The 15,369-nt window shown below is 34.9% G+C and overlaps 1 protein-coding gene across 36 annotated transcripts in view; it reads left to right on the top strand.

Moving 5' to 3' along the window:
* NLGN1 (neuroligin 1) overlaps window positions 1–15,369 on the top strand; it is an 898,421-nt gene that overhangs the window by 769,336 nt on the left and 113,716 nt on the right. The gene's annotated exons all lie outside the window — the stretch shown is intronic.

Genomic DNA, 15,369 nt, shown 5'->3' on the forward strand with positions numbered 1-15,369 from the left:
AAAATGCTTTCAGTTTTTTGCCCATTCAGTATGATATTGGCTCTGGATTTGGCATAGACGTGGTTCTTATTTTGCGGTATGTTCCTTTAAAGCCTAGTTTCTTGAGGGTTTTTATATGAAGAGATTTTGGATTTTATCTAAAGCTTTTTGGGCATCTGTTGAGATGATCATATGGTTTTTGTTTTTAATTCTGTTTACATGGTGAATCACATTTATTGATTTGCATATGTTGAACCAACCTCACATCCCAGGAATGAAGCCTACTTGATCATGGTGAATTAGCTTTTTGATGTGCTGTTGAATTTAATTTGATAGTATTTTGTTGAGGATTTTCATGTCTATGCCTATCGGGGATATTGGCCTGTAGTTTTCTTTTTCCACTGTGTCTTTGCAAGCTTTGGTATCATGGTGAGTCTGGCCTGATACAAAGAGTTACAGAGGAGACTCTACTCCTCAAGTTTCTGAAATAGTTTCAGTAGAATTGGTACAGGCTCTTCCTTATATTTCTGGTAAGATTTGGCTGGTCTGTGAATCCATCTGGTCTGGGGCTTTCTTAGTTGGCAGGTTTTTATTACTGATTCTATTTCAGAGCTCAATATTGGTCTGTTCAGTGTTTCCTTCCTGATTCAATCGTGGGAGATGGTGTGTTTTCAGAAATTTATCCATTTCCTGTAGATTTTGTAGTTTATATGTGTAGAGGTGTTCATAATATTCTCTATGAATCTTTTGTATTTCTGTGAGATTGGTTATAATGCCACGTTTGTCATTTCTGATTGGGCTTATTTGGATCTTCTCCTTTTTTTTCTGCTTTTTATTCTAGTTAGTAATCTATCAATCTTATTTATCCTTTCAAAGAACTTTTTGTTTCACTGATATTTGTGCAGATTTTGAGGTCTCAATTTCATTATGTTACATTCTGATTTTAGTTATTTCTTTTCTTCTGCTAGCTTTAGAGTTAGTTTTTTCTTGTTTTTCTAATTCCATTAGGTGATGCTAAGATTATTAAGTTGAGGCCTTTCTAACTTTTTGAGATAGGCGTTTAGCACTATAAACCTTCCTCTTAACACTGCTTTTTCTGTATCAGAGACCTTTTGGTATGTTGTGTCTCTATTTTTATTTCAAAGAAGTTTTTGATTTCTGCTTTAATTTCATCGTTTACCCAAACGGATTAAGTTGTTTAATTTCCATATAATGGTATGGTTTTGAGAGATCTTCCGAGTATTGATTTCTATTTTTACTTCACCATGGTCCAAGAGTGTGGTTGGTATGATTTTGATTTCTTTGAATTTATTGAGGCTTGCTTTATGGACAAATATGTAGTCAATCTTGGAGTATTTTCGGTGTGCAGATGAGGAGAATGTATATCCTGTGGTTTATGGTTGGAGTATTCTGTAGATTTCTATTATGTCTAGTTGGTCACATTTCAAGTTGAAGTCCAGAGTTTCACTGTTAGTTTTCTGCCTCAATAGTCTTTCTAATGCTGTCAGTGGGGTGTTGAAGTTCCCCACTACTGTTGTGTTGCTGGTTAAGTTATTTTGTAGGTCTATAAGTACTTTTTTATGAATACGGGTGCTCTATGGTTGGGTGTGTAGATATTTTGTATAGATAAGTCTTCTCATTGAATATAACCTTTTGTTAATATGTAATGCCCTTCTTTGTCCTTTTTTTACTGTTGTTGGTTTAATGTCTGCTTTATCTGATATAAGAATTGCAACCCCTACTCTTTTTTGTTTTCCTTTTACATAATAAACATTTCTCCAACCCTTTACATTGAGTCCAGGGGTTGTCATTACTTGTGAAATGGGTCTTTTGAAGACAGAAGAAAGATGAGTCTTGTTATTTTATCCAACTTGTCACTCTGTGCCTTTTAAGTGGGGCATTTAGACCATTTACATTCAAGGTTAATATTGATATATGAGGTTTTGATCCTATTGTGAAGTTGTTAGCTGGTTGTTTTGTAGTTTCTATTGTGTTTTATTCTATTTTTGCTTTAAAGGGTTTACAAACTATGTATTTAAGTGTGTTTTGGTGGTAGCAGGTATCATTTATTTGTTTGTATGTTTAGAACCCCCTTCAGGATCTCTTGTAAGGCTGTTCTAGTGGCAACAAATTCCCTTAGAGCTTGGTTATATTTTATTTCTCTTTCATTTATGAAATTAGTTTGGTGGGATATGAAATTCTTGTTTGGAATGTCTTTTCTTTTAGAATGCTTAAAGTATTCTCGCAATCTCTCTTGGCTTATAAGGTTTCTGCTCAGAAGTCTGCTGTTACCCTAATGGGGTTCCCTTTGTATGTGATCTGCCCCCTTTTTTTTTTTTTTTTAACCTAGTTGCCCTTAAGATTTTTTTTTTTCTTTAGCATTGACCTTGGGCAGTCTGGTGACTATATGCCTTGGTGATATTCATTTTGTGTAGTATCTCATAAGTGTTCTTTTCATTTCTTCTATCTGAATGTCTACCTTTCTAGAAAGATTAGAGAAGTTTCTTTTATTATTCCTTCAAATATGTTTTTCAAGTTGTTTGCTTTTTTCTTTCTCTCTCAGAAATGCCAATAATTAACAGGTTTGCTAACTTTACAAAATCCCATATTTCTCAAACGCTTTCCTCAGTTTAAAAATTTTTTTTTAAATTTTTTTGTCAGATTGGCTTAGTTTAACAGACTTGTCTTTAAGCACTGAAATTATTTTTTCTGTTTTTTTTCCAGTCTATTGATAAAGTTTTCAATTATATTTTGAAATTCCTTAAGTTTTTTATTTCAGAAATTAGTTTCTCAATTCCAGAAACTGAGATTTATTTCTTTTTAAGATGTTTATCTCTTCCTTCATTTCCTGGATTGATTTAGAGGATTTCTCTGTGTTGATTTTCAACTTTGTCTTGGATCTCATTGAGCTTCCTTGCAGCCATTCTTTGAATTCCTCTGTCATTTCTGAGTTTCTAATTTGGTTAGGGATCATTGCCAGAGAGCTAGTACAATTCTTTGGTGGTGTCACTACATTTAGATTTTTCGTGGTGACAGAGTTCTTATGCTGGTCCCTTCTCATCCAGAGATGCTGGCACTTCTAATTTTTGTAATTATTTCTATGCAAGTAGGATTTTCTTCTTCTTCTATAATATTGTTTTTTAATTATTATTTTTCTTTCTCTTTCTATTTTCCCCCTCCCTAGGAGATGTGACTGTAGAGAATGCTGGACAGGGTCATTTGGCATTGTTTTTATAGCTCTATGCACATCTTTCAGCAGGCTTTATATTGGCTATTGGGCTGGGCAGTTCATCCTACAAGCCCATAAATGTCACTTATAGGTAAGAGCTGGCTGCAGCCAATGTGACTGGGTATATACTTGATTCTTAGTTATTTGCAGAAGCTGTCTGTTGTCTCAGGCAATCAGCTGATTTGACGACTGTACAATGGTCTGAGCTCCCTGCTCAGCCCTAGGTGGTGTGGGCAGGGAGCCAAAACAGGAGGGGATGACCGGGGCACATCCACCTGCAGGTTCCCTGATGGCAGGCATAGTATTAGCACCAAGAAAGAAGCCAGTGGGTGGCCTAAGACACTCAGAGGTGTGACAAACACTCAGGAGAAACTTCCTTAGCTCCAAGTTCTCTGCATGGGGATAGGGGGTGGTCTAAACTCCTAATCCAAGAGAGTGAGTACTCCAGATGCCTTGTGGACCTGACTGAGTGTGGAACAGGGAAGGCCTGCCTACACAAAAATCTCCACACAGGAGGGGTGGGGTGACTCAGTCTGCTTCACCAGGCTTGGAGCCTACCTGTCTTGAAGAATGGTTGGAGATCTGCCTGGGCATGGAGCAGAGAGGGGTCTCTGTACAGGAAGGGTGGAGTGACTCAGGCTGTTGGACCAAGCAAGCAAGTGCTCTGAATGCCGAGAGATATTGCTGAGCATGTAGCAGAGAGGGTACTCCTGCACAAGGATCTCTGCACAAGAAGAGTGGGGAAGTTCAGGCTGCTGAGTTAGGCAAACAAGTGTTCTGAATGCCAGAGGATCTGCCTGGATATAGATCAGAGAGGACCTTGATGCACCACATCTATGCTTAGGAAGGGTGTCGCAACCCAGGCTGGTCAACCAGGTGATCAGGCTGCTCCTAATGCTTGAAGATCTGCTTGGGCTTAGAACAGAGAGAGTCCCTCTGTACCAAGATCTGTGCACAGTAAGGGTGAGGTGGTTCAGGCTGCTGAAACAAGTGAGCCAGTTCTCTGGATGCCCGGGCATGGAGCAGAGAGAGTCTTGCTGTACCACAATTAATGTGGTAGGAAGGATTAAGAAGGATGGGTGGCTCAGGCTGCTGGTACAGGCAAGCAAGTGCTCCAGATGCCTGAATTTCTGCCTGGGAGTAGAGTAGAAAGGGCCTAGCTTCACCACAATCTCAGGGAGACAGAGTGGGGCACCCAGCAATGGCACACGCAGATCAGTTCCAGGTCACTAAGCTGGCCTGGGCTACGAGTCTCACCACCCAGGAGAAACTGTAGCTGTAGCAGCTCTCTTCTTGCCCCAGGCTTACAATGGGGGAGAGCACAATTCCAGTGCCTACTGCATCTGGGGAAATGTCTGCAGCTTTTCCCAGTGTCTTTCCCTCACAGCATTTTCAAGCCTCTCCCTAAGTAAATTCCAGGGCTTGGGAGAGGCAAAGTCCTGTCCCTCGACCTGGGTTGCTCGGATTCCCAGTGTAAAGGTGAGTCACAAAGGGAGCTTCTCTGTCTCTCTCACATACTGGGGCTTCACTCACTTTGAACAACCAGACACCATCATGGGGGCTGTTTGCCAGTGTTTTCCTCTCAAGCTTTGGGGTATCCTTCAAGATTCCAGTGGATTCCTGTTGTCTTTCTTGAATTAAAGCCCACAGAGTTGATCTTTATGTACTATCTTGCTGTTGCTAGGTGGTTGAGGTGTGCTGAAAACCTCTAATCTATCATCTTTGAAAAAAAAAAAAACTTTTAAGTTTTGTTCAATTAGTCCATCAAACATTTCCCACCTCCTACAATCTTTGATAACACTTTAAAAAAATTCTAAACAAAGCTTTTCTAGGAAGTTTTAGTTTTTTCAAAGCTGCTTTGCTTTTGTGTCTCAGTAATGGTGTATTACAGGGCCCAGCAGCACATGGATGATCCACTGCTGTAATCCACCAGCAGGGATCCCTGGCTCCGTGATGGATTATTGCATTACATCATCAGCCCAAGGGCTGACAGGAAAGAAAGTACTTCAAACAGTCCTCCTTCGTAAATTGTTTTAGTCTTAATGAAAGAAAAGATATGGTTTTGAATGGGTATGGATGAGTAGAAAAACTGACTATACCTTTCAGCTCTGTATTGAATTACATACATGTGAGAGCAGCTACCAAAATGCTCTTGGTTCACAAGATGGAATTTTCTGTTCATTTTAAACATATGGCACTAGCTAATGTGCATAACAGTGACCACAATGAATATAATATTCCATAAAATAATGAAGAGATTTTTAGATCATCTGAATCAAAGAAGAAATTTAAGTAGTATTAGTATAGGTTTTATAATATGTGCATTTTAGTTCTTCAATAATGTGTGCTATTGCCCTATTAAGCCAAATGTTTGTTTAACCACATACTACATTTCATATCCTTGTCAGATAACAGAATTATCGCTGAACTTGAATGTATCCATTTACATATTTTTACATGAAAAATGTGAAATGAAAATTTACATTCATGTCAAGGGAAACAAATCACAAACTCTATTAATCGTCTTACTCAATATTTTAAATTTAGTAAGGTGGTAAGTTTGTTGAAAGAATAGATAGGCAAATAAATTAATAGACCTTTAAGTTCACTTTTTTCTTTTTAAGAAATCAGTTTCAAATGTACAGTGATGTTATGTTTCTGAGAGTAATAAATCAAATATTTTTGCAAACAAATGAAATACATATCTTTTACCACTCTAAAATAACTTAAAATCAGGTGTCTAATTGGTTGTTATTAGAGAATTGTATGGAAAACATAGATTTGAAAGACCGAATTTTTATTTTAATTTGCCTACATTTCTCTTCTTTATTAAAAGAAATTAAATAGCATCACGAACAAAATTAACTATAGGACAAAGCCTGTTATTTCTATTATTGTGAATATGCCCCTTCTGCGTCATTTTCCAAATGTAGGATTTGCTCGTTAAAAATAAGTAGTGGCACACTTTATGATATTGGCAAAGAAAAACATGATCTAGAATATGATCTTGTAAAATAGTTTCTACCCTTTTCTAATAACTCATTTAATGTCTTAAAGAGATCTTTAATGTTGAAAAATTAAATATTAAAGTCTTTAATTTCCTTCTGAGGCTGCTAATAAAATTGGGTAAAATGAATTCATAAGCATTTTTACAGAGTTGTCATAATACCAGCACTACAAATCATATGATAGTTTGGAATTTTGAATCTTTAGGTATTTTATTACACTCTACCTGTGAAACATTTAGTTATATCAATTTAACTCTTCTTTAACAGTCCCACGACCTTTTCCTCGTCACCAATTTCCCACCTCTCACCCCAAGTTTGGGACCTTGAGAAGCTCATGATTCCACATGTCAGGGTCACCAGCTTGGATGACAATAACTATCCTCTTAGTCCTCCCTCAGATTTTTATGTATCTGACAGATTATTTATTATTTTGGTTATTATAATAATCATTTCAATATTTACTTACTGAGACCCAAATTCTAATATAATCCTTAGATAGAATTTAGACTCAAATTTTTGGATCTTTGCATGCCAAGAGTTTTGTTCAAGGTTTTCTCTATTTCTCCAGTTTGCTAAGTATCTCTTCTGAAGTTCTCTTGATGTTTTTAAATTTTTTTAATTTGTATGGGTTTTTAAATTTTCATATGATCATAGTCATATGTCATATGTCATAGATCATATATCTATATGGGTTACATTAGATATTTTGATATAGGCGTGCAGTGCATAATAATCACATTGGGGTGAATGGGGTATCCATCACTTCAAGCATTTATCCTTTCTGTTACCAACAATCCAATTACACTCTTAGTTATTTTTAAATTATAATTAAATTATTTTTGACTATGATCACCCTGTTGTAGTAGCAAATACTGGGTCTTATTCATTCTTTTTAACTATTTTTTGTACCCACTAACCATACCTACCCTCCACTTCATATTTTAAGGTCTTAGTTTTAAGTTTTTCACCCAATTTGATGTGATTTTTGTATGTGGCAAGAGATAGAGGTCTAGTTTTATTCTTTTGCATATAGGTGTCCAATTTTCCCAGCACCATCTATTGAAGAGTCTGTCCTTTCCCCAGTGTATGTTCTTGGCACCGCTGGCAAAAACAAGTTCATTGTAGATGTATGAATTTATTTCTGGGTTCTCTGTTATTTTCTACTGGGTCTATGTGTCTGTTCTATGCCAGTACAATGCCAATTTGGTTACAATAGCTCTGCAGTATAATATAAAGTCAGGGAATGTCATTCCTCCAGTTTTGTTCTTTTTGCTTAGAATAGCTTTGACTATTCTGGGTCTTTTGAGACTCCATAAAAATTGTATAACTGTTTTTTCTATTTCTGTGAAGAATGTCTTAGGTATTGTGATAGGGATTGCATTAAATCCATAGATGGCTGTGGGTAGAATGGACATTTTGATAACAATTTTTCTTCCAATCCATGAACATAGAATATATTTCCATATTTTTGTGTCCTCTGCAATTTCGTGCAGCAACAATGTTTGAAAGTTTTTATTGTAGAGATCTATCACTTTTGGGGGTAATTCCTGTGTATTTAATTTTATTTGTAGATATTGTGTATGGTATTTTTTTTATCTCTTTTTCAGATGGTTGGCTGTTGGCATATAGAAATGCCACTGAATTTTGTTTGTTGATTTTGTATCCTGCAACTTTACTGAATGTGTTTATCAGCTCTAGTTTTTTGGTGGAGTCTTAGGTTTTTTCAAATATGAGATCATATCATCTGCAAACAAGAATGGTTTGACTTATTCCTTTCCAATTTGGATGCCCTTTATTTTTTTCTCTTATCTGATTGCTCTAGCTAAAACTTAAGTATTATGTCAAATAATACTGGTGAAAGCAGTCATCCTTGTCATGTTCTAGATCTTAGAGGAAAGGCTTTCAGTTTTTCCGCTTTCAGTGTGATATTAGCTATGTGTCTGTCTCATATAAATCTGTCGAATTTGGATTATAGGAGGGTATGTTCCTTCTATACCCAATTTTTGAGGATTTTTTTATTATGAAGGGATATGAATTTTATGAAATGCTTTTTCAGCATCAGTTGAAATAGTCATTTGGTTTTTGTCCTTGATTTTGTTGTTATGATGTATCACATTGATTGATTTACATATGTTGAACCATCCTTGCATCACTGGCATAAATTCCACTTGGTCACAGTGAAGATCTTTTGTGTGTGTGTGTATGTTTGTGTGTGTGTGTGTGTGTGTTTCTCAGTTCTTTAATTTAATCAGCAAAATTAATTAGCACTCTTTCCAAAGAAAATCTACATTTTTATGTTCTTTTATCTAATTTCTTTCTTTCTTTCTTTTTAATTTCCAAAGCTTATTGGGGAACAGGTGGTGTTTGGTTACATGAGTAAGTTATTTAGTGGTTATTTGTGAGATTTTGGTGCACCCATCACCCAAGCAGTATACACTGCACCCAATTAGTGGTCTTTTATCCCTCACCTCTTTCCCACTCTTTCACCCTGGGTCCCCAAAGTCCACTGTGTCTTTCTTATGCCTTTGCATCCTCATAACTTAGCTCCCACATATGAGTGAGAACATATGATGTTTGTTATTCCATTCGTGAGTTACTTCACTTAGAATAATAGTCTCCAATCTCATCCAGGTCACTGTGAATGCCTTAATTCATTCCTTTTTATGGCTGAGTAGTAATCCATTGTATATATATACCACAGTTTCTTTATACATTCATTCATTGATGGGCATTTGGGTTGGTTCCATGTTTTTGCAAGTGTAATTGTGCTGCTAAAAACATGTGTGTTCAAGTATCTTTTTATATAATGACTCTCTTCCTCTGGGTAGATACCCAGTAGTGGGATTGCTGGATCAAATGGTAGTTCTACTTTTAGTTGTTTAAGGAAACTCCACACTGTTTTTCATAGTGGTTGTACTAGTTTACATTCCCACCAGCAGTGTAGAAGTGTTCCCTATTCACCACATCCATGCCAACATCTATTTTATTATTATTATTATTTGATTATGGTCATTCTTGCAGGAGTAAGGTGATATCGCATTGTGGTTTTGATTCGCATTTCCCTGATCATTAGTGATGTTGAGCATTTTTTCATATGCTTGTTGACCATTTGTATTTCTTCTTCTGAGAATTGTCTATTCATGTCCTTAGCCCACTTTTTGATGGGATTGTTTTTTTCTTGCTAATTTGTTTGAGTTCTTTGTAGATTCTGGGTATTAGTCCTTGATGCATCATCAGGTTATTTAAAGTTTTCTCTTTTTTTAATATATAAGCACTTATAGCTGTAAACTCCTCCCTTAGTACGGCTTTTGCTGTGTCCCACAGGTGATTTTAGAATATTGTGTTTCCATCATCATTTGTTTCAAGAAATTTTTCAATTTCCTTCTTAATTTCTGAATTGACCCCCAATCATTCAGAAGCATATTGTTTAATTTCCATGTGTTTGTATAGTTTATAAAATTCTTCTTGTTATTAATTTCTAGTTTTATTTCATTGTGGTCAGAGAGATGCTTGATATTGTTTCAATTTTTTTGAATGTTTTAAAACTTGTTTTGTGACTTAACACATAGTCTATCTTTGGGAATGATCCATGTGCTGAGGAGAAGAATGTATACTCTGCAGCTTTTGAAGGAATATCTATTAGGTTCATATATTTTATAGTACAGATTAAATCTGATGTTTCTTTGCTGATTTTTTTTGTCTGGAAGATCTGTCCAATGATGAATGCGGGGGAGTCTCCAGCTATTATTCTATGGGAGTCTCTTTCTCTCTTCAACTCTAATAATATTTGCTTTATATATCTGAGTGTTCCAGTGTTGAGTGTGTATATATTTACAATTATTATATCCCCTTGTTGAATTAGCACCTTTATCATTATATAGTGACATTTTTGTCTCTTCTTATAGTTTTGTCTTGAAATCTATTTTTTCCTGAAGTAAATATAGCTACTCCTGCTCTTTCTGGGTTTCCATTGGCATGGAATATCTTTTTCCCTCCGTTTATTTTCAGTCTATATGTGTCTCTATTGAAGTTTTCTTGACCTTTACATTATCCAACCCCTATTTTAGTGGCAAGAATATTGCATGGAAAACTGTCATTCAAATTCTACTCCTAGAACCCTCTGATATCTGTTGATTCCATCTCACACACACTGAGTGCTATAGCATTTATAAAGTACCTTAATGTGTAATTATTTTTAAAAATTTGTGAGGTACAATTTTTTTCACCATTTTCAGAATGAGGAAAATTAGACTCAGAGGAGATTAAAAGATTTCCCCACGGTAACATGATCCTGGTATTTAGTTAAGAGCTACACCAATCCTGTAGGTCTTTATGCTAGAGATATCACAGTACCTTCCTAATAACTCTTCCAGGCTCATTACTGGCATGATTTCCATCTAGAATATCTTCAGGATATTTCTCTCTTCACATTTATAGTACAAATATTAGATTTGTCCTTCTCATTCACCACAAAGAGCATATGTTTTTCATATTAAATCTGCCTACTTAAACATAAACAACTCAAAACATACACAATTGGGAGGACTTTTGTACTTAATATCCATCCATGAGTTCTGTTTTCAGGTCAGGTTTCTGGCCCTGAAATCAGGCTTGTTGAATACTTTATTTTACTATGTAATTTACAAGTCATGTTGGGAAGTTGGACCCTATAATTATATGTATTTTTAGTGCAAAATATCATCAATCTTTTACCTTTAGAACACCTAATTTAGATCTAATGAAATATATTTAAATGAAATGTAGAAAGTACTCAAACAAGTCTCCCCAATTCTGTTACCTATACCAATATTTAGGATTTTTACAATAAAAATCTTCAAAAAGTATTAAATTTTTACTGTCATTGGTTAATTCTAGTTTTTTATAGATGCAAAAAAAAATCATCAGTGGTATTTTTAAAAGTTCCAGCCATAATGTATGTTGCAACAGAACTTTGCATTTACAGTAAACAGCTTTTCTGCAGGCCATCAGTGGTGAGACTCCCTTTCTCTACTAAGCAGACTGCCTCCTTGGAAAAGAGAGAGCCATTTTAGCTTAGCGCTTCAGTTCAGTTTTGTTTTGTTTTGTTTTGTTTTGTTTTTCTAGAAGGATGTAAATTGTTCTGTTTGTTCAAATGCAGAACAGTGAATGAACAGTGAATAGTAACTTTGTAGTAGAGATTGCTGTCCAAAGGGAACAGGGGAAAGAAACGTCATTTTAATTGAACTCAAAAATCAAGAGTGTATCTTTAAATACAATTGCATGTATGCAACAACGCAAACACTTACACAGTTAATATCATTTGGCTTCATCTTTAGTCATAATTTATATTCATTACATATGGGTAATGGGTATGACTTACCTCAACTGAAAGGAACAAGTAGGGGCTGCCTCAATTTTAATGACTCTGAGTTAATCTACACATACTTGTAACTGTGCAGTGCTAAGTTGTGTAGAACACATCAAATAAAGAGTTACCTGGTTCAGCGTAGCATAGGAGATGTTTATAATCTGACAAATTGAACATTTAATTTTAAATAAGGCTATCATAAAACTAAGTTAATGATTTAGAAGAGAAAATATACAAATATTATTTATGTGCTCCTAGCTGTGCACAATACTCAAAATTTGGAAACTATCTCAGAGATTTGGGCTGTATAGACATTCTAATTCAACAATAAACATTTTCTTATTAAAATATTCATGGAAAAGTTTTGAAAAGATATATGGTAACCCATTATTTTTCTCTAACAGAGGGTATTATAGGTACTTTTTCTCTTCTTTCTACATTTTTATTTTTCTCAATTTCCTATGCTGAGTACTTATTTCATGAGCTTTGAAAAGCTTCTTCAGAAAATCACTAGAGATCAAAATTGTAATATTTACTTAAATGTTTAATGTTAATTAATATTCTGATTAGAAGCGATGACCATATTGTTTGGCAATAAATTCTGCTTGATTCCTCTGTTTGGAAGCTCCATTATTAGTTTTACATTAAGTATATATTACATATAATAAAAGTGAAGGAATAACTAATTATAAGTCAGTGTCTTCAGCAAGGAAGAACATTAGTTAAATTTATGGAATAGAGTTCTTTTCAGTTTAACAGTTAAGAGTAATTGTCATTTGGACGCCAACTAAAGAACTGTTCCTAGATTAGCAAGTCCTAGTATAAAGAAAAATATGAGATTCTTATATTCAATTATATATGCATATAGTCAAAATACAATTATTTACTCATGGCCTTTCATTATGTTATATTCTCCTTAAGAAATATGAGTGGTCTTGACAATAGACATAAAAGCATAGTCATAATTAATAAATTTTTGATTTATTCTTCATGTTGGAATTAGTCTTTCACCATAATGTAACAACAGCCTAGACAGCAATACTGCCCCGGATGTACCTGCCTCATCATGGGAAGGCAGAAGAGTGAAGTGATAAGAGCATCAGTTCCAGGGTCGGGTGTGAGATGAATTCTTAGCTGTCCCACTCACTAGCTTTCTAAAATTGGGCAAGCTCTTTAATCTCTCTTTGCCTCCGTTTCTTGATCTGTGAAGTAGGAACAAAAAAAGGTAAAGTGGCTTAATAGTGCTTGGCACAGTAGGAAGTTCATGACAAAGTTTAACTATTTAGAAGAATAAGTGGGAAGGAATGCACACTATCTAGTGAACTAGGGCAGAAGCTTTTTCTCTTGATTTATTCAGATAACTGACCCCAGAAGTATGCTTTCTGTTTTCATTTGAGTTATAGTCATAATTTTCGCTATTCCCAATACAGTGTGTGTAGTCAGCCTAGGTGTTATTCAATAGACCTGTTCCAACATCTACTGTGATTGATTTATTTAGAAATACCTCCAGGCCAAAATGAGAATGAAAATAAATGGAACAGATGAAAGTGCCCTGCTGCAAGCAAGAGCTACAGATTGAGGTTAAGAGTAATTGCTTTGGCATAATTGTTATTTGTAATCTTAGAACAAATGCAAATCTCCCATTAGGAGCAGTAAATCCGGTGCTTAAAGTAGAAGATGAGTATTTCACTGCCTAGCAATGGGAAGCCATAACTGAATGCTAAGTGCAACGACATAAAAATTTCCTCAGGCCTTTCATTCAGACTAATAATGCAGGGAATATGGTGGACACAGGAGTACCTTCAGAAAAATGAATATCAAAGATGATTTATTTCTCCTGTGTATTTTTTTTCCAAGATACATTAAAAAAACTTTGTCTTTAGATTTATAAATTCGTGCTGTGCTCTGCTTCATAAATACTTTATATTTATACTGAGCCTGACTTCCAGAAAGCCTGATGTGCTTTTTATGGTTATTAGTCTTTACACCTTCATTACTGAAGTAGATAATAAGGTGAAGATATTAGCTTTACTTTAAAGAGATAAGAATAGAGGCATATAGGAGGTCAGTGACTTTCTCAAGGTTATGAAATCATTCTGTGGTAAAAAGAATACATGATTCAAATTCATTTTAACTACCACATCATCTTTTTTCAGATTACTTTTTAAGTCAGTAGTTATTATTACCAGTGAAATTATGATAATCATATTGATGAGCCAAAGGTTGTCATTAGATTTCTCAAATATCCAACAATTCCTGGGCCAAGATTACTACATAAGAAATGTTGTATTTATTTTTAAATGAATTGTTTGCCTTAGAATAGAATACTATTTTAAACTATTAAGTTAAAGCCTAGATAAGATTAAATTGAGTTCTTGGCCACACAGCAGGTTATCTTATTATCTTGATTTAAAAAAAATAAATGAAATTCCAAGGTCCATGTGTACCTGTAGAAATATTTAGAAATGTAAGTAGTTGAAGAAAAGAGTAGATAGGTAAAGTTGAATATGTGTGTTTGAGAAAGTGAAGGGCACAATAGGATAGAAAATATATTGCAGTATTGCAATAGAATAATGAAAAACATCAGTATTCAGACAGCTTCTGATGTATACATAGCTGAGGTCAAATATCAAGCGGATTTTTTTTGTCTCCCAGACTGAGATCACACCGCCTTAATATTGTTTGTTAGATATTGGCAGGGAAAAAGTTTAGTATGGTATAAATGTATTTTTTAACTTAAATTATTTCATAGATTTTTAAAGAATTCCATGTTAACTCTGGAGAGGAAGGAGTACAATATGTAGTCTGTTGCAAAACCAGAGTAGTATATATTTTAGATAAATGGGTATTTTTGAACTCTAGAAAAATTGAATATTTCTGGGGGTTATTACCCCAAGACTGAAATCCAAATGTCATCTCAGCTTTCTCACAAGGCCCTTAATAGTTGAAGAATAGAACTTTAATTTAAAATCCATCTCTAAGAAGCAGCATCCACAAGACTACCCTCTGATAAACTTTTTAACCTGTGACCTGTTCCTATAGATCTCATATGGTGATACGTTTTGATCTGTGATCCTAGTTAATCGTTAATGGTGCCCCGGATTTCGAGGGACATTCTTTGCAAAACAGTGATAGAATTATAGCAATATAATCCCAAGCTGGTTCAGTAAGACTGTCTATTTTTCTTTAGTAAAATAAAAGAGCTGTCAAGCACTATTTATGCCCCTAGCTGCTATTTCTGTAACAGTCCCTTCCTTCAACTTGCTAAGGAGGCGAAAGAGTCACAGAAGAGTTACAAATGAAAGAAAAATTAAACACAATACAAAAGTGAGAGTGCCTTTTAGCCTACATTAGGGAGGTGGGAGTAAAGTATCAAGGACACAGATATCACCTTCAATGGTTCCCTCACAAAAACAAATGGCCAGTAATTCGGAGCTTTGTAGCTTCCTCACTTTCTGTCTCTTTCCTGTAGGCTACAATGTGTTGTCCAATTTTAGTGTGAGACTGACCTAGACAAATAATTGTATTTAGATAACAAAGTGAATAAACAAGTGCAATTTTGTTTTTGAGCTGTTTCTAGAGAAATGTCATGTAATTATTGCAAAAGCAAATGTGGAATTTAGAAATATTTTAATGGTACAAATGGCTTTAATGAGGGGCAAAGGTTGCTAGTCTCTTCTCTCTTAAAGCCAGTTCTGAGTTATTAATGACTTATATATATTAAGCAAGTTTGGGGAAACAATTCACTTTTGACTTCATTATTTTAAAGATAATAACTCTCACTTTTACCACTAATTATCTACTTA

The sequence above is a fragment of the Homo sapiens genome, chromosome 3 (assembly GCF_000001405.40).
Source record: "Homo sapiens chromosome 3, GRCh38.p14 Primary Assembly".
Taxonomy (NCBI): Eukaryota; Metazoa; Chordata; class Mammalia; order Primates; family Hominidae; genus Homo; species Homo sapiens.